The following is a 19921-nucleotide window of genomic DNA, read 5'->3' as shown; positions in this document are numbered from 1 at the left end:
TTGTAGTACTTGTGCAATATTGTGCTAATGTTTTCTCTTTCTCCTTTTTTTCTAATGTGCCACCGATGACATTTTTGAGTGTTGTGCCCCTCACCCCATTTTTTAACTTTGCCTCACGTGGTCATTTTTAGGAAGGCATGTGCCTTGTTATAAAACAAAAGGAAGCATGGTTGTTCAAGGATCTCATGAGGTCACAAGGTAGGGTGAAAGGATTCTCAGACACTCAGAACTGTGAGTTACTGAAGTAGGTCTCATGGTCTTGTCACTGCGTTTTAGTGAAAAAATAATGTGGAAATGATAAAGCATTAGAGAGGAACAAAATCACGATTAAAATGGCACCATGCAAGAACACAGCAATCAACACATACAAACTCTACAAGTGAATGTACACAGGAATTGACTGATATAATAACAGCAGCACCTGAAAAGTCAGAGCGGACTCAAGGCAGGCTCCCAGTGACTGACGACATGTGTTTGCCTCCCACAGCGGGCATCCCACGCTCTGGGAGGACACATGTCTGAGACGGCTGTGCAGCCATCCTCAGCCAGACTTATGTGCAGAAGAGTGATTCTGACTCATCAAGCAATGTGAGTTATGGGTGCTATTAGTTTACTAATCCCAAATGTTTGTCACATAGAACATTGCTAGATGATATCCCTTTGCTGAAGTAGAAATAAAAATCTATAAAGTTGCCTGACCTCACCCATGAGAAACTCAGAAAGTCCTGCATTGTGGGACTCAGTATCAGGCTGCAGTTACCAGAAGGCTACTCAGTTCCCAATGGGCCACTGGAGCCACCATGGTGATACCGGTATCTTGGAAGAGACTGGGCTTTGGGGCTAGCCAGACGGCTTTGTTCACTGAGCAACCATTTGTTCAGGGTTTGTTTCTATGTGCCAGGCTCTGCTTGGAGTACAAAGGGTACAGCAGTGAACAAGTCAGGAGCCTAGGGAGAGAGGCAGGTGATGAATAAGCCTGTGCTGCTCTAACAGAAAGGAGTAAGTGCTATGAAAGGAAAAGCCAGTGATAGAGAGGGGCTCCTTTAGCTTGAGACTTAACCTCTGAGCTGAGGCCTGAATATCAAGGACAAATGCATTGGGGGAAGCCTCAGGGAAGCATGTGTGAAGCAGATGCAGCAACAATCTTGGCTTGGCTTTGTAAGGTCAGGAAGTTCTTGAGCAGGTTATTGAAGGTCTCCAAGCCTCAGGCATCCCATCAAGGAAATGGGGACCATAGCACTGACCTAATAGTATTGAGGTAAGGATTGAGTGTGAAAATGTGTACATAGCATGCAGTAGGGACTGATCAATGTTGTTCCCTGTCAAGGAAGGAGACAATCCGCCCTCCTGCATCACAACTTTGATACATTTCAGGTACCTTTGCAATCTGAGTTTAGCTCTGAGCCCCCATGGTCACCAGCTGCCCTTTATGGAGTTTTCTGAGTGTGTCACAAGTAGAGGGTGCACATTACGGATGTGAGATTCATCCCTAGGGTACTTATAATAAGAGGATGTTTGGATGAGAGTGACTAATTGTAAAGGAGAATATCCCTACTTCTATGTTATTTTCCTCAAAGTCTTTAGGAGCTGTATCTGGATTAGCCCATCCCCTCCCAGAGGATGAGATCATGAAGTTGCTGCAGCCCATGCTCTAAAAGCCTCAAGTGCAATCTTAAGGACAAACCACTGGAGCAAAAGGTGGCTTTTTGTCTGGTGTATCTAAAGTCATAGTGCCATAGGAAGCCCTCCACACACATGGCCAGCTGTGTAGTGTCCTAGGTACAAAATGCTTTGTACCACTCCGTATTTCTGTTGTTTCTTCTACTTGGGGTTCCCTATCACTATCCCTCTTGCCACCTCCTCCATGTGTCCTTCCGGGATTTCTCCAGTCTAGGTAGATGCCCTCTCTCCTCCATGCTTCTACAGTATTTTCAACATGAGGCTGCAGCATTAGACTCTAAGCTTCATGGTGCCTCTGAGGCCTCATCGTGCTAGTCAGTGCCTGGCACAGAGTAGATGCTCACTAGTGGTAGAAACTGTGACAGAATCCTACAGGCTATCTTTTGATAGGAAATATTTGCTGGGTGGATCTGGGCAGCCGCAGACATCTAACCTTGATTGCTGCCTTGGTAGCACTTCCTGAGCTGCAGACAGAATCCATGGCTTGTTTGCAGCTTCTCTGGTACTGATCCCACCGGCCTGTATCTTCACTCCTGCTGGACCATCTATCCCTTCTCTATATAGAATCATCTATCTCTCCTCTCTCCCCAAACCCTCCATAAACTCCCTTTCTGTCCATTGAAAATGGAGAAAGCAGTTTTGTGCTGGGAGTGGGAGCTTGGTGTGCACCCTGCGGCACCAGTCTTGAGGTTCTCCTGTTTCTGCTAGTGTAGGAGAGCCCTCCCACAATACCTCCCCTCTGGTCATGGTCTCTGGAGGCCTTTTCTCTGGAGAAACCCAAGACACCCTCCTCATTGATTCCCTTTATTCAGCAGAGGCTGCAGGCATCCCTTTCTCGTCTAGATATTTTGGTGGTTATCTATGATGAGAAATTCCACCTCAAATCTTTTTTAAAAGGAGTTCAAATAAACAAGCAAGTAAATCGTGAAGGGAAAAGCCAGGAAGCACAATCCTGTAGGGTCTTCATCCTCTCACTCACCCCCTAGCTGGCAGGGCAGGGCCCTCTCTGGCCGCCAGGGAGAAATCAGGTATAAAAGAGTTTTAGGAACATCACAATTGCCAGTTGCTTTGGTGACCTCAAGAGGCTTGTTTTTGAGGGTTTATGAGGAGCAGGCAAAATTGCAACCATATAGTAAAAGAAATTGATGAAGCTTTCTGAGCACAGTGTACTTGAGAGAGTGAGACGCTCACACAAACATCTTCCATTTTCCAAGAAGGAGTTGGGATGGGCTTAAGAGAGCAAAAGGCAAGTCATCAAGTTCAGGCTTTACCACAAGAAATGTCTGTCCCTCCTCATCTCTTGGAGGGTAGGATAGCATCGTTCTTAAAAATATAGATGTTTAATTCAGCATACCTGAGTTTAAATCCCACGCTTACCACTTACTGTGTAACTTTGGGCAAATCATGTATGCTCCGTGAGCCTCAGTTTCCTCTTCTGTAGAGTTTGTATCTACCACCCCGGATTTTGGGGGGATTACATGCAGAGTCATTTCAGTACCAAACACAAGGACCATGACCAATAGATATATTATTGGTAAATTACCGTTTATTCAATAACATTTATTGCAAGACATAAGAGGAAATCAATGACTAAGCACTGACAAGGTGCCAAGCACTTTTATACCTATCCTTTCACTTAATCCTTTCAGGGACCCAGTGGGGGAGTGTATCTTAATTGCACAAATGATAAAACCATGCCTAAGAATTGGTGTGACTTGCCCAAGGCCATGTAGCATTTTTTTTTTTTTGAGACGGAGTTTTGCTCTTGTCACCCAGGCTGGAGTGCAATGGCACAATCTCAGCCCACCGTAACCTCCACCTCTTGGGTTCAAGAAATTCTCCTGCCTCAGCCTCCCTAGCACCTGGGACTACAGGCACCTGCCACCACGCCCAGCCAATTTTTGTATTTTTAGTAGAGACGGGATTTCACCATGTTGGCCAGGCTGGTCTCGAACTCCTGACCTTAGGTGAGCCACCCACATCAGCCTTCCAAAGTGCTAGAATTACAGGCCACATAGCTTTTTTACAAAACTCCTCCACTATTCTGAGGATTTGCCAGAACTGAGACAACTATAATTTTTACAGATTCATGTTTAACGTTCAATTTATGCTGATATTTAAAATTAAAAGAGTGATAATCCCAATGTTGGCAAAAGATCAAGAAGTATTGTCAGTTTTATCAGTGTCTGACCTTGAGGGCAGCTTATGGGGGCTGGAGGTTTGCTTTGACACTGAAGACTGCAGAAATCCAGGCTGGAATCTCAACTCTGCCAAATGCGAGTCATGTGAATCTAGCAAAGCTGCTGTCATCTTATAGCCTCCATTGCTTCATCTGCAGATTGGGGAAAATTATATCCCCTCGTGGGCTTATGGTAGCACGAGATATGCCAGGCTAAGGGCCTAACACAGGGACCTTCCAATGAAGGCTCGGTATGGGAATATCCCACCAATTGGTTCAGGAGTGTCTCAAACTTCTCTGAACTGTCCTACTTGGAAACAAAATCTTTTCAGTTTATAAGGGGCCTAGAGACTACTTTATGAATTGTGGTTCAATTTTTTTCTTAAGTGAAGAGAAAGGGAGCAGCCTGCCCTGCCTGCTGTTTTAATAATTGGGCCTAAATTACCCTGTAAGTATTCCTGAAAAAGCTATTGGGATTTAAACCCCTTCTTTGTGGATTAAGAACTTAGAAAGATGATGATTTTATTATAACTACCTCTACATTTGGGTAACTTATGTTTTCTTATCAAGAGAACATTAACCACTTGGAAGTTTCATATTAGATGCCTACAGGGGGAATAAAGCTAATCTAAGAGACTTCTGGAAAGCATAGGCTTTGGCGCTGTTGTAATCTAAGACGTTCCGTCCATTGTTCCAATTCTGTGGTCAGAAACGATGCAGAATAATAAAAGGGAAAGAGGTAGGTGTGGCAAACACACGCTTCCTTCCTTAAATGTGCACGCACAGGAGCCTCCAGTTCTTCCTAGTCTCAGCTTCCAATGGCTGGAGAAGCATCAGGATTTCTAGGAAATTGCTGGATTTACACAAAGTGAGTGGCTGGATATTGGGATACCGGGGAGTGAGAGGGATGGGAATGGGGTACCCCAGAACAGGGATTGTTCAGGCAGCTGACACTGCAGCCAGATCTGCAAGCATTCACTATCTGCCATCTTTTAGGACTTTCTCTGAGGGATGAATGGCTTTGATTTGGGCACCAAGGGTCTTCCCCTCCTACTGGAAGAAGCTAGGAGGGTACCTTTGCTCAGCAGTGAGTGCTGTCATCTCCACTGACCATCCAGTGCATCTGAATTGGGGGTGAGTCAGGAAGCAGAGATGGGCTGGAGAGGTAAAAGAAGGTCAGATGATGAATGCTGGGTAAGAGGTTTGGATTTAATCCCAGGGCCAGTAAGGAGCCATACATAGGATGTTTAGCGAGGGTGTGAACTATCCAGACTGCTTCAGAGCCATCATTCAGCAGTTGGGTTAGTCCTGGTGTTCATTTCCAGAACAGCAGGATACTCCTGATAGCCACCCCTCGATCAATCCATGCAGGTGTCACCACTGACAGGGCCATACCAGAGGGAATTAACTTCAATTCATTGAAGTTTAGTTCAATTCTATTGAGTTAAATTTAAGAGTGTTAACCCTGCAACTGGACAGATTCAGATTCAGGGATAACCACACCACAGGCAGGGGAGGGGGCAGAGGAGTACCAGTGTCAGCCAGGAGGCAGAAGGAAGGCAAGAAACTGTGGGCACAAGGCTTTACTGTGGCTTCCATGGGAAGAAACAGGTAAGGCAGGGCAAGCATTTTAAGATTCGCTAGTTTGAATAATTCCAGTCAGCTCTTGGACGTAGTTGTCTGGTACCTGACCCTGGGGTGATTAGGGCAGGTGAATGGTGTCCCAGAGTGTAAAAGCCCCAAAAAGGGGTGTGTAGGGTTGTGGGCTCCAGATTGGTTGGAGTGCATATGAAAAGTGAGAGGGTGAGATGTTTAGGATCTCTGAGAATCAGCTAAACCCGAGAGGGACAGTCCCTCCAGGGTCAGTAAGGCCCCCAGATGTCAAAACATCAGAATATATACTAGAAAATAAAAGGCATGGTTAATATAGCATTGCAGAATGAGAGGAATGCTGGACTAGAAGAGAACTCCAGGATGTCTTCATCAGGGCCCCGTGTCAGTACAGCTCCAGGTTCAAGTGGTGCCATTCAGATGGAAATGATGTGAATAGTACTTCCGCTTCTGAGTGTACAACCCAGCAGCTGCCATGTCTCAGAAGGTGCAGACATATGTGAGGCTCGGGAGGGCTTCATGGGGCCCTGGTGTAGTGTGAGGCACTTTGGAGCCAGAAGACAAGGACCTTGGGTGCTGGGCCAGGGAGTGGGTTATTTAGAGCGTCAGAAACAGACTCTTCAAGGCCTTTGCGGAAGGGAGTGACAGAAGCTGACTTCTGAGATTCGCCTTCTCTCCTCTCTCTGCGTGGCCTCTAGGCATGAGTTCCTCAGGACCCAACGGTGGGTAGGGCCAAGGTGTCACTTAGACAGTAGAGTGCAGAGGCTGAAAGTGAGGGGTCAGATGCCTGGCTCCAGACCCTGCCTTCTCTGCTTACCAGCTGCTGCACCTTCGGCAGTTACTTAACCTCTCTGTGCCTCAATTTTCTCATCTGCAAAGTGGGAAAACAGCATAACTACATCTCATGGGGATGTTCTGATGACTAAGTAAGATGATAAATGTGAAATGCTTAGCAGAGTGCCTGACATACAATGAGTGGTTAAGAAACATGGGCTATTTTATTAGGCTTCCAAATTTTGGTTCCTTGTCACAAATCCTGCTCTCAGGAGAGACAAGGAAAGGACTATTCCTGGATCTCCTAGGGGCAGGTACTAAAACTTCTGTGAGAGAATGTTTTCCTCCTTTACGGGAGAGGAAACCAGACTGGGGAGAGAGTGGGTCACTTACTGAAGGTCCCACAGCCAGTTGGTGCAGAGCCAGCACTTGTGCCAGGTTGGACAACTTCTGAGTCAAAACCAGAAAAGAATGTCTTGCTTCTTGCTTTTAGGAATTCATATTCTTTTTACATTTCATTAACTGCTATTATGGGTCTACAACCATCAGGTTGGAAATTCAGCTGGAAGGAGGCAGGGGTGGTGAGGAATCAGAGACGCTGGACCTTCAACCCTGGATCTGCAACCAGTTTCATGCTCAGAAGCGCCCCATCTTGGTTTAATGCTCTGCTGTGGCTGTCTTAACTTTCTTAATAATTTTTAAACAACGAGCCCCTTGTTTCCACTTTATACTGGGACCCACAAATTATGCAGCTGGTCCTGCCTTACCAGCTGAGCAACCTTGGGCATATTCTTTAATCTTTCTGAGCCGCAGTTTCTTCTTTATAGAATGGGGACATTAATTAATTGCCCCAAAGGAGTCCACAGAGCATAACTGCTAGGAATCAGGGCTTTGGAGTCAGACCTGGGTGTGAATTCCAGCTCTGCCACTTGGTATTGTGTACTGTGAGCAAGCCATTTTTTTCCTCTATGTTTAGTCATGCAACATGATAATGATATCATTACCTATTTCAGAGTTGTTTATAGGGTTTCTGTGAGACAATAAATGCAAACCACTTAGCCCTGTATCTGACACATCATAGGCACACACATTTTTGAGCATTAAATTACATGGCTTTTTCTTCTCCAATTAAAAACAATTACACACAGGTACCATTTAAAAAGAAACAAAACACGAATTCTCTGAACTGAATTACGAACATAAGGAATCCCCTCTTTTCCTTTATTACTGACCCTTTTCCATTTACTATATTTTATTTTCACAAGAGTATTTTATTACCTTTTAATTCCTATGAAGAAGAGATAATTAACTACAAAATGAAAGTGGGGGAAGGATACATATCTCTGTGCCATATCCTCAGTGAAGCCTCAGGGCTGTGACTGCTGCTGTTCCTCTGCCTGTGTACTCGCTCGGTCCCTGCCCTTCCTAGGGCTGGTCCTTCTCTTCATCCAGGTCCCACCTCACAGGTGACTTTGTAAAGGAGCCCTTATTGGTATTGGCCTCACCTTGATGAGTCTCCCCCAATCTCCACCCCAGCCTCCACTCTCCCTGAGAATTTACTGATTCCTTTAAGTCCCGTTCCCACTCAGGAGCATGACTTGTACATCACTGTTCAATGCCTGGCACATAAAAGTTGCCCAACAAATATCTATGAAATGAGTGAGCAGATGTATGAAAATCAGAACACACATACACATAGATACACACCCAGACATATAAACATGCACACTCCAATTCTCACATAGGATGGTACGTATTACTTATCAATCATCTGCTTAGCCCCAACCAGCTGCCAAAGGATAGGCTGCTAGGCATTAAAATGGGAAGGATTTGAGACATGGCTGCTGTGTGTGTGTGTGTGCGTGTGTGTGCACGTGCACGTGTGTGTGTTTGCATGTGCACATGTGTGTGCTGTGTATGTGTGCACACCCCCCACCCACCTGAATTGAAATGTCGTGGACAAATGTGAATCCTGAAACTGCACTTAAAACTGGCTTCAATTTTTCTGTATATTTTTAACCTTTTTAGTCCCTAGACATTCTCAATAAATGTCAAATGAAAGAACTAGAAATCTGTTCTCAAATTTTGTCTTGCTCACGATGTTCTTTCCAGTTTCCTGATGACAGAGGAGATATAATTTGGCCCCAAATCAACACTGTGATGACTGACTCTGTGACCTAAGAAAAGCTTCACATCTATCTGGCAGACCTCAGAGTCATGCACGTTGGCAGAGACTTTGGGGCCTTATTCTGGTAGCAACTGGGAAACTGCAGGCAGCCCCTCGCTGAAGCCCAGGCTTATGTCAGGCCCTCCTCCCTGGCCTCTCACTGCCAGCCAGGAGAACTGGTGCCACTAGTTAAGGGCAGTGTGTAAAGACAGCTTGCTGAGCAGACTGCATTGGAGAGATGGCTGGCTCAGGCCTCTGAGACACCACATTCCGTTCCTGGAAGGCTTTGGCCTTCCCCATGCTGTGAGAGGAAACCATCCTATTCTGTGTGGTTCCCTCATGCCAGCATGAGTGCTTCCATTACCCACCAAGTCTCTGATCTTGCTGGTGTTGGGCACCACCTCTTTAGAGCCTGTGCCAAGCCCTCCTTTCCTTTTACCCTGGCTGTCTGGGGGGCCGTGGGTCAGCAGCCAAACTTGAAGAGAACTATGTGGTGTTCAGAAGCCTGGACCCACCCAAGGCTCGGCTGCAGCTTTCTCCCAGTCCCTTCAACCCTAAAGACCCTCAGCTCACACCCTTCTCAGCTCCCAAACAGAAACACATCCAGCAGAACTGATGCTGGAAAGGTACAGAAACCACGCACTTCAAAGCAGCCCTTCTGAAAGACAATCCTTCTAAGATCAATGAATTCAGCCAACCAGGGTACTTTCTCTTAGATGTATAGAAATGCTTCTCTCTTATGTACAATAAACATGAGCATCTTCCAGGCAATTTTTTTTAATCTCTTGACAAATGTATTATTAGTGTAAAGATGGAGCAGTGGTTCTTTAAGAATCTTTACTTACATGGCTTTGAAAAACATTCACAATTGAAGGGTATAGGTTTTCATGCACATATTTTTCAATCTTTTTGAAAAGATGGCTTATGTATACTTTTTCATATTCTAGTTATATAAATCTCTTTTTAAGCTATCAATTGCACACAGCTTCAAAGCTTTTTTTTTTTTTTTTTTTTTTAATGAAAGGACCATTTTCCTAGGTGGTACTGGAGTGCAGGATTTCCCATTTCGCTGAACAAGAGTCGCAAGCTGAAATCAAATTCTCACTTCTGCAGGAAATACAGTCTAAATCTCCAGAGTCTGTTGAATACACTGATACCCTCTATTCCCCATGTGTGAGGGTGGGAGAGGTGGCTCTCTGACAGGGTTAGGAGTGTACACTGTCACAAATGGTTAGCAAGATGCTTGACAAAATGTATCTCAGTTTTCAAAATGACCATAGACTTTGGCCCAGTAAATAGACTCCTGAGAAAGGTAGCCAAAATTCAAAGACTTTTGTACTAATTGCCATTGCATTAAAAAGAACAACAGAAGCATGCTGACATATGATAATCACATGGCCCTATCTAACTACAAGGACACAGTCAAGCACATTTGGATACACCTATAGAAGGGGACGTTATGCAGCCACTGAGGGGGTCAGTGAAGTTTTATGATGTGGGGGAATAAATACGACATAAGGTTAAGTGGAAAAACAACATAATGTTCAAATGACTATGTATTGAAAGAAGAAAACAATATTGACAATACTGCATTAATTGAACTATGGGAAATTTTTACTGAGTTTATTCTTTTTAAAAACATTTTCATATGAGGATAAAAAATTATAATTTTTAAAAATTACATTAAAAATATCATGGCAGTCCAATTGCCACTTACTACCTCAGGTTCTCTTAACAGAATGCAGAGCTCATAAGTCTTGCCTGAGAAACATCCTTCTTCCTTGCCTGGGGGTGCCCACCTGGGCAGCCAGACAGCCAGCCTCTTTCTGTTGTCACAGAGGGCTCCCGTTGGCAAGTGTGAGCCCCACACATGCATTAGACATGGAGTGCTTTGTTGGCATTTGGTGATGAGGTTGTTAGAAACCCAAGGAGGCTGAGAGCCTGAGGAGCAAAAGCCTTGGAATTTGAGAAGGGATGACATACTGTTATTATAATATTTTCTTCTGGATCTAGAGCCTGAGAAAAGGGCTGAATTTCCCTAGAAGCTCACCAAGGGTGGAAGATTCAGCATGTGTGAGGCTGTTATTAACCGAACCTCCTGGCTGGGCTTGGTGGCTCACGCCTGTAATCCCAGCACTTTGGGAGGCTGAGGCAGGCGGATTGTGAGGTCAGGAGATCAAGACCATCCTGGCTAACATGATGAAACCCCGTCTCTACTAAAAATACAAAACATTAGCTGGGCATGGTGGTGGGCAACTCTAGTCCCAGCTACTCAGGAGGCTGAGGCAGGAGAATGGCGTGAACCTGGGAGGCAGACCTTGCAGTGAGCTGAGATTGTACCACTGCACTCCAGCCTGGGCGACAGAGCAAGACTCAGTCTCAAAAAAAAAAAAAAAACCAAACCTCCCAGCAGGTAGAAGGTCCCTGCTCCTTGCCTGCCTGGTTCAGCCTGTGTGAGGGTGGCTGCTACAACCAGAGATGCAGAGTCTCAGGCCAGAGACAGACACTGGCACTGGGGAACACAGAGAGGGAACACAGCTTTCTCAGCACTGTCCACCAGCAGAGCCTTGTTACTAAAACAAGAGTAACCAAATAATAAAGCTTGTCTTAAACTGTGGCTGAAAGTGAGTTCACATTTTGCCCTAAATACCAACCTCCACCAACCAAGAACTTATCAGAAATGAGTCCTCCTCAGAATGCATTAGTTTTTAGAGGCCCCAGACAGGTTCTCCGCATTCCCCACACAGGTCTCCCTGGGCTTCCACACCTGCCGGGGCCCCACTGTCCATGCCTGCTGCTCATGTGGCCAGGACTAGCCCTCTTCACCTGACCAGGGAACACCCAAGCCACAGGGGCCCAGACTGGCTGGGATCCATGGAAGGTGGGGAGAAGGGGCTCTCCCCGAGGAGACCTACCTTGTGCCTTTGCCAGGTGAACTCTGGTTATTATGTCCACTGCCTCACAGAATCTCTCTAGACAGTTCGATCTACTTACTTCATGGTCTGCATTGGAAACCTCACCACATCTCTAATAAAAACCAACAGTAACACACTTACAATGAACTTATTTTTGACAAACGTTTCAGAAACATACACTGCGGAAAAGACAGTCTCTTCATTAAGTGGTGCTGGGAAAACTGGATATGCATATGCAGAAGAATGAAACTAGACCCCATCTCTCACCACATACAAAAATCAAATCACAATGAATTAAACACTTAAATATAAGACCTCAAACTATGAAAACAGCTATCAGAAAACATTGGGAAAAATCTCTAGGACACTGATTAGTCTGGGCAAAGATTTCTTGAGCAACACCCCACAAGCACAGGCAACATGTTCACAAGGTGAACATGGACAAATGGGATCACATCAAGTTAAAAAGCTTCTGCACAGCAAAGGAAACAATCAACAAAGTGAAGAGACAACTCACAGAATGGAAGAAGATCTATGCCAACTACCCCTCTGACAAGGGATTAATGACCAGACCATATGAGGAATTCAAACAACTCTACAGGAAAAAAATTCTAGGAATTCGATCGAAGGATAGGCAAAATATTTGAATAGACATTTCTTAAAAGAAGACCTACAAATGGGAAACAGGCATATGAAAAGGGGCTCAACATCACTGATCATCAGAGAAATGCAAATCATAACTGCAATGAGATATCATGTCACCCCAGTTAAAATGGCCCATATCCAAAAGACAGGCAACAACAAATGCTAGCGAGGATGTGGAGAAAAGGGAACCCTTGTACACTGTTGGTGGGAATGTAAATTAATACAACTACTATGGAGAACGGTTTTGAGATTCCTCAAAAAACTAAAAAAGTAGCTACCATTTAATCCAGCAATCCGATTCCTAGGTATATACCCCAAAGAAAAGAAATCAAGTGTATTGAAGAGATATCTGCACACCTATGTTTGTTGCAGCACTGTCTACAATAATTAAGATTTGGAAGTAACCTAAGTGTCCATTAACAGATAAATGGATACAGCAAATGTGGTATATATACACAATGGAGTACTATTCAGCCATAAAAGAGAATGAGATCCGGTTATTTGCAACAGCATGGATGGAACTGGAGATCATTATGTTAAGTGAAATAAGTCAAGCACAGAAAGACAAACATTGCATATTCTCACTTATTTGTGGGATCTAAAAATCAAATCAATTGAACTCATAAATATAGAGAGTAGAAGGATGGTTACTAAAGGCTGAGAAGGGTGGTAGGGGGTTGGTAAGGGGAGGTGGGGATGGTTAATGGATATAAAAAATACAAAGAATGAGTAAGACCTACTATCTGACAGCAGAGGAAGGTGACTATAGTCAATAATTTAACTGTATATTTTAAAGTAACTTAAAGAATACAATTTGATTGACTGAAACTCAGAGGATAAATGCTTATGAGGGGATGGATACTCCATTCTCCATGATATGCTCATTTCAGTTTGCATTCCTGTATCAAAACATCTCATGAACCCCATAAATATATACACCTACTATGTACCCACAAAAGTGGTAAAAATAATTTAAAAAAATTTTTTTTAAAAGATACAAAAATATATTCAAGATAAAAAAAGGAAAAGAAAACAAACAGGAAAACAAAACACACTAGTCCATCTACCCCATCACTTACCTTTCTCCAAAACCCTTCTCTGCAACACAAATGCCTGTCTCCTGTCAGTCATACAGCCACAACGTTGACAGAAGAGTGGACGGAAATGCCCTGGAGGCGTAGCAGTTAAGCAGCAAGCTCTCCTGCAGATGCTGTTCCCTGCTCCTTCCCATCACTGGCCCCTTCCCCAATCCCTTAGGCATCTGGCTAATGTATTCATCCTTCAGATTTCAGCCGAGGTGCCACCTTCTTGGGGAAGCTTTCTCAAGCCTGGCCACTGTACCTTACCTCTGTTCTCACAGACCCTAGGCTTTGCTTGTCAGTGCCCTGACTGCCCTGTATTGGAATGGAGTGCTCACCTGTCTGCCCTCACCTCACCACCGCTCCAGCTCATGGTTCCCAGGGGCTGGTTGGGTGCAGAGTAGGCCCTGAGGGAAGTGTCTTGAGTTGAGTGGAAGCTCAGTTAGGCCAGGACTACACTGTCCCTCTGCATGGTTAGGGTGGGGTCAATGCTCCAAGCCCCTAAGTTGGTACTTCATGGGTCACACCACACTTAACAGAGCTCCTGGGGCCAACCTCGGCCAGCTCGTGGCTCTCCATCCAGTTCCTCCCTCCACCAGGATCTCTGGGAGGTAGATGTGGGGAGAAGGGGGCACTGTTCTGCCCACTTTAGAGATGAGGACAACTGTGGCAGGGAGAGGGGGTGACTTTCTGTGGTCACACACATTATGAGAATCCAAGTATGGCTTGTGGGCAGATGGCAGCATAGGTACCCAGGCTGGCTGGGGCTGCCCTCCACTGGGTCATGCAGAGAGCAGGAAGGAAGCCACCATTTAACAGGCACTTTGCCAGGCCTCTTACACATGTTATCAACCTGCACAGCATCCATCTGAGGAAGGGATTAGCAGGGTAATTTTACCATGGAGACAATTGAGGCTGAGATATCAAATGACCTGCCTAAGGTCACACAGACAGCAAATAATGCTGACAGGCTGGCCAGACTCCCAAAAGCACTTTAGTCACTTCTACTTGCTCTCCTCTGCCTTCACTTTCCTCATTGCTAGAATTAATTTAGGCATTCCTACCTTTCAGACACAGTTCTGCCTTGTGACAACCCTCTGCGATAGGTACTGCTATTAACCTCATTTTGCAGATGCCACATCTGAGGGTTCTGAGAGGTTCACTGACTTATCCAATGTCCTTGAGTCAAATGGAACTGGATTTGAACCTGGGTCTTTCTGGCTTCGGAGCCTGCACTCTGAAGCTGTATCCTCTGCTGACTCCCTGCAGGGAGACATTCTGGCCTGCTGCAAAATTTCAAAGAACTGTCAGTGGAAGAGGGAGTAGGCAGACTGTGCAGCTCAGGGACAGACCCAGGTCCATGGGGAGATGAGGTAGCATGTGGGGCTCTGAGTCAGGAGGCCTGATTCTAGCTGTGGTTCCACCTCTCTACATAACCTTGGGCAAGGCTTTTCCCCTTATGGTGCCTGAGAGGTCATCTAAGGTTGAATGATGAATGACCTTGTTATCCTGAATGAAGACAGGTCCCAGTGGTGGGCCTGGGTGACAAGAGTGATACCCCTCCCACCTCCACCATCCACAAGCCATGGTCCTCTCTCAAGTCTGCCTTACTATCCAATGACATATTTCCTTTTTAACATGGGGGAAGAGTTCTAATTTCAGAACTTTCCCCCAAATAGCTTTCCTCCAATGGCCTCAAAAGATGGCAGTGTTCTTCTTTCCTTTGAGATGCATTGTAGGAAATTGGGCAGGATCTCTATGTCTGCAGACAGATGGAGCTGGCCTCAATATTACTAGCTGTGTGGCAAGTGTATTAACCTCAGTGATCTCATCTGTAAAATGGGAAAATAACAGTTTTCAGGGTTCAGTGAAGAATAAATGACCACGTGCATGCAATGAATGCCCTTAGATAAGGCTTGGCAAATAGTAAGTGCTCAGTGAGTGGTAATGATTATTACTGTTATTATTATTGAGTACTGTTTGGGATGAGTGAAGTCTGCCCACACCCTCTTCCCCTCAGGGCTGATGTTATTGGACCTAGAAAACCTCCAAGTCTCATTACCCAGGCTTATCCACAGGAGAGTCAGATCAAAGCAGACTTGAGCATGGGCACTTTTATCTGGCAGCTCTTTAAGCACATTAAGATACCATTGAGTAGGTAAATCAGCATCCTGTACAGAGCCATTTGCTGCACCTTAATGATCAGCTATGTCAGTGATGTCAAAACAGGTCGTTATTCACGGAGAAGTGCCCCCACGAGGCCCTCCGCCAGAAGCTCAGCTGCTTGCCAGGAAGATCTGAGCAATCCCCTTAGCAGCTGCAAACTCCGGAGCACCTGCCCTGGGGTCACGCTGCTGCAGTCAGTGGAATTCAGGCCTCAATAATGATTTTTCCAATTATTTGAGGAAAAAGTACTCCATTGTGATTTTTTAAATTGAGATAAAGGGAACTAAAAAGCGCTGCTGTTCTCTGAGCCCCATCGTGTGTGGTTCTGTGCAAGGCTCTCCACTGGCAGCCTTGCAGCTGGTCCTCATAACAAGGCATTTACATTTAGGGAAGCCAAAGCTGAACAGCAGTGACTTTCCCAAGGTTGCAGAGTGAGCTATGGCATAGCTGAGACTGAAATCTGAGACTGAAATCTGAGTTCCTGGACCGACCCCCAGGACTGTACACTTTCTACCGCACCCCACTGTCTCCCTTTGATCCCAATCTTAAGTACAAAAATCCAGGACATGATGCTTAAGCCACACAGCCTTACTCAATTCTATGGATTTAAATGTGTGTACTCATGTGTGTGTGTTTTCTTTTGCATGATGGTGTCTATTTTCCCAATTTAATCATAGCATTCATTTGCATAGGGATTTAAATTTTGTGAAGTACTTCTATGCTGGAATCTCTTTTGGTCTTAACAATCTTACAAAATAGCTTGGCCAAGGATTATGATTCTTAATTTACAGTTAGGGAACCAAAGCTCAGCCAGAGAAATAGCTTAAGCAAAGCCTGTGGCTAGATTATGACCCAGCTAAGGGTTGGGTTCAGCCCTTCTCACTCCATACCTAGCTCCATCTCCACTGGTTTGCACCTGACCCCATTCCCCCATCACCTACCCCTGTGTGGGGTTCAGGGCATATGCTTAGGAAAGGGAAGAGGAGCAGAAGGAACCAGAGGAAGAATGTAGAAGAAATGAAGGGGAAGGAGAGGCAAGTCAAAAACGGGGACAGGGAGAAGAGAGGTTATTGATAAAGAGGAGAGATTCAAAAAGATAGGAAAGAGATTGTGAGGGTAGAGGAAGAAGCTGAGCCACCTGGTATGAAGCTCAAAAAGTCAGTGCTGTCCTATTGAATGGAAGGGTATATGGGTAATTTTTCATGCTGAATTCTCTTTAAGGAAAAGGTAGAGTCTTCCTGCCCTGGTGTAAGGAGCCACACCTGGGCCCGGCATCTTTGGGTTTGAAGCTTGACACCCAAGTCTCAGGCCCACTTTGTGTTTCTCTGGCCCATGAGATAATCAGAGGTAACTTTAGTTTCAGGCAAGTAGTATCTGAAAGATGGACAGTCTTCAAGCCTGGGTTTATTTTTGAACACGTTATAACTTCAAGACAATGGTTCCCTATACCTGGTTCAATCAAGGAAATGAAAGTTGTGGCACCTCTTAGGTGCTATGTAGACATTGTCCCATTGAACTCCAGCTACCATTTCCAGGTAAGTCTCATCACCATCTTATAGATAAGGTAACTGAAAAGTTAAATACATTGCTTAAGGACATGCAGGCTATGTCTCTCTTCTAAAATGTTTTCTGATATACCCTTTTATAAAGCTCATAACATCCCCCTTTGGAAATTCTCAATCCCCTTTTTCTATCCTCTTTCTTCTGACACAGTAAGATGCCCTCTGGAATAGGCTGATACGAATTTGAATTCCATATTTACCATTTACCGCTGTGAGATTTTGGGCAAGACAGTCAATCTCTCTAAGTTTTCCTTATCTATTAAATGGGCTAGAATTGCTTATCTCACAGGATGTTCCTGCCCTTTGTGCAGTGAACTTTGCTTTGGACTGTTACACTTCTTTGCCTCTGTCTAAATATGTCCATTTGATCTCCCATTCTTTCAAGGCTTTGCTACGCATCTAATCACCCACTCCCTGCTAAGGCGCCAATGGACAACAAGAGCTTCACACAGGGGTCACGAAACTTTTTCTGTAAAGAACCAAATAGTAAATATTTAGGCTTTGAGGGCCACATAATCTATTGAAACGACTCGGCTCTGCTGCTGTAGGGTAACCATAGGCACTATGTGAACTAATGAGTGTGGCCGTGTTCCAATAAATCTTTATCTACATGCACTAAGAATAAAACTTCATATAATTTTAATGTGCTATGAAATATTATTTTTCTTATTTTCAATGATTTAAAATGTAAAAACCATCTCTTAGTTCACAGTTTTACAAAAACAGGTAGTCAACCAGATTTGGCCTATAGGCTACACTTTGCTGACTCCTAGCTTAACACCTGACTCCTGCAGGAGGTATTTTCATTTCTCAGGGGGGATTATCTATTAAAATAAAAGGTTGGTACTGCAATGGTGGAACCTCAGACACCCTGGCAGGACAGTAAAAGAGAGAACTGAGGGCAAGAATCCTTCTTTACTCTGTCTTTCTGGCAATGCCCTGAGCCCACTTTCCAAGCAAATCTGGACACCTTCTTGGGCTTATCACCCTCTGATTTGAAATCAATGCCTTTCATGTAGTAAAATGTAAGCCAGATCCTCAGTTTATTTAATAACCCATCTGACTTTTGGAAGGGGCAAGGTGACCAGCTGACCCCTGGGGACTGGGTGTTTATCTCCTTGGTAGGGTGGTGGCAGGTGACAGCTGCAGAGGGAACTGGGACATACACTTGACAAGGTGTAGCAGGGTCCTCTTCAGCCCCAGACACGCCCAACTGCCACCTTTGTCCCTTTGCCTATGGAGTCTCATGAGATTTGCCTGCAAATCTAACCTTGATGCCCACTTTAACTTGAGTTTGGAATAAACAAATACATGACTTTTAGTACTTTTGGGGGAGTGCTCTACTTGAAAGTGCACTCAGAAATAATCATTCTTTTCTGCTGGTCTCCCTCCCCTGAGTCTCTGCATTCCAGCCAACATCTATGTGGTTTGCCGAGGAGTCCTTCGTCCCTAAGATACTCTTAACCACATGGAGGCAGGAAAGCCTCTGTGGTCCCCTGTCCTCAGGATGATATATGAGGAGGCCCTCCCTCCATGACCTGGTCCTCAGTTGGCCAGTCCAGTCTTCTTCCCTCTGATCCAGCCACATTGTGCTCCTTCCTACCTAACACCTGTTTTCTAGTCTGGAATACCCCCTCCTCTCTGTGCTAAAGCCCAGTATTTTTCTAGATTTGCTCCAGGAACATCTCCCTGGGGCTCCTGCCTGGTCCAAGGTTAAGTATCCCCTTTGTCTTCCCACGGTCCCTCCAGTGCAGCTTTTATCCTCAGCATTTCTATCATCTCCTTCTATAATCGGAGTTCTGGTAGATCCTACCCGTATCCCCAGCCTTTAGCACACAGTAGGCCTTCACTAAAGGGTTAACTAATTCACTCCAAAAAAAAATATTTCCCACCAGGTAATATGCATTCAATTTCAGTGTCTCTCACAATGCCAATAACTAAAAGCAACGAATCTAGCCAGCATTAGATTAGTTGCTGCTAATCTAATGCTGATTAGATGCTGTCTTTCTGCCACTGTCTTTTCAACACAAAAGTGTTAGACACACTCAGCATCTAGTAAGTATTTTCCGCATGGTCTTAGTCAAAGTGAAGTTGATGGAAGCAGCCAGACCTACCCCAGACTTGTTAAATCGGGATCTGCATTTTACCAAGATCCCCCCTACTGACTGATGTGCATGTTTGAGTTTGAGAAGCGCTTCTCCAAAAGCTGCCACCCTTCCTTCCTAATGAAGGACCTGTTTGTGGGATGGTGGAAGACACAGTGCAGACAATTTGACGCACTTGGAGAATTATTCAAAACCCGAAGAACAGAGAAGAAATGGTTCAATTATGTGGCTGCATCTCTCTTTCTTTTCCTTTTAAATAGGATATCTTATTGGGAAAGTAAAAGGAACCGAAATCAGTTGGCCTGTGGGAGAAACTCTTCCAACTGGTGGTGTTGTGTGAATTGCTGCTGAGCAAGGTGTAATTAGCTGCCATGGGATCACACTCACGGATGAGGTGAGCAGACAAAGAAGGGCTCCTTGGGGGCTGGAGAGCTGATTCTTCAGTCTGGGGAGCCTCAGACACAGAAAAGCTGGAAGTCCAGTCAGCAACACATCTGGGGAAAAATAGTGAAAGCCCACAAGGAAAGTCTCCGGTGGCTCTCTTCAAAGGGGAATAATTTTGCATAAAGGGATAGTGAAATACTGAACTTTGGGTTCATTCTAGCAGAACAAATAATGAATACAAAATCTGACTTGCAACAATAAAAGGGAAAATGTACCAAGTAAGTGTTGTGGAAGATAATCTTTTCAGCTTGAAACATAGAAAAAAAAAGATGGGCCAAGGGATTAAAAAGAATAAAGGAAAGCATAAACAAGGGATGCATTTCTCCAAACAGCATAACATAAGATAAAATAAAAACTAAACAAACAAACAGAAAAACCCCAAACTAGCCACTGGATTACAAACAATCTTCTAAAGGACAGGTCAGTGCCCCTGTAAGGAGGGCTCAGCAGGCACATGTGGCTAAGCTCAATCTCTGGCTGGGCCCACTGCTGTTACTGCCACCCTCACCCTGACAGCCTCCAAGGGTACTACATCCTCTGCAGTGCTGTGGTCCACAAAGGGATGCAGGTCCTTCTCCAGGTCATCATAGCCCA

At 44.8% G+C, this 19921-nt stretch overlaps 1 protein-coding gene across 2 annotated transcripts in view; it reads right to left on the bottom strand.

Annotated features, from left to right (window-relative positions):
• The window catches only part of CLSTN2 (calsyntenin 2), a 642213-nt gene that overhangs the window by 129539 nt on the left and 492753 nt on the right, over window positions 1–19921 (bottom strand). The gene's annotated exons all lie outside the window — the stretch shown is intronic.

Source organism: Homo sapiens, chromosome 3 (assembly GCF_000001405.40).
Source record: "Homo sapiens chromosome 3, GRCh38.p14 Primary Assembly".
Classification (NCBI taxonomy): Eukaryota; Metazoa; Chordata; class Mammalia; order Primates; family Hominidae; genus Homo; species Homo sapiens.
This window is presented reverse-complemented; position numbering and strand designations above follow the sequence as displayed.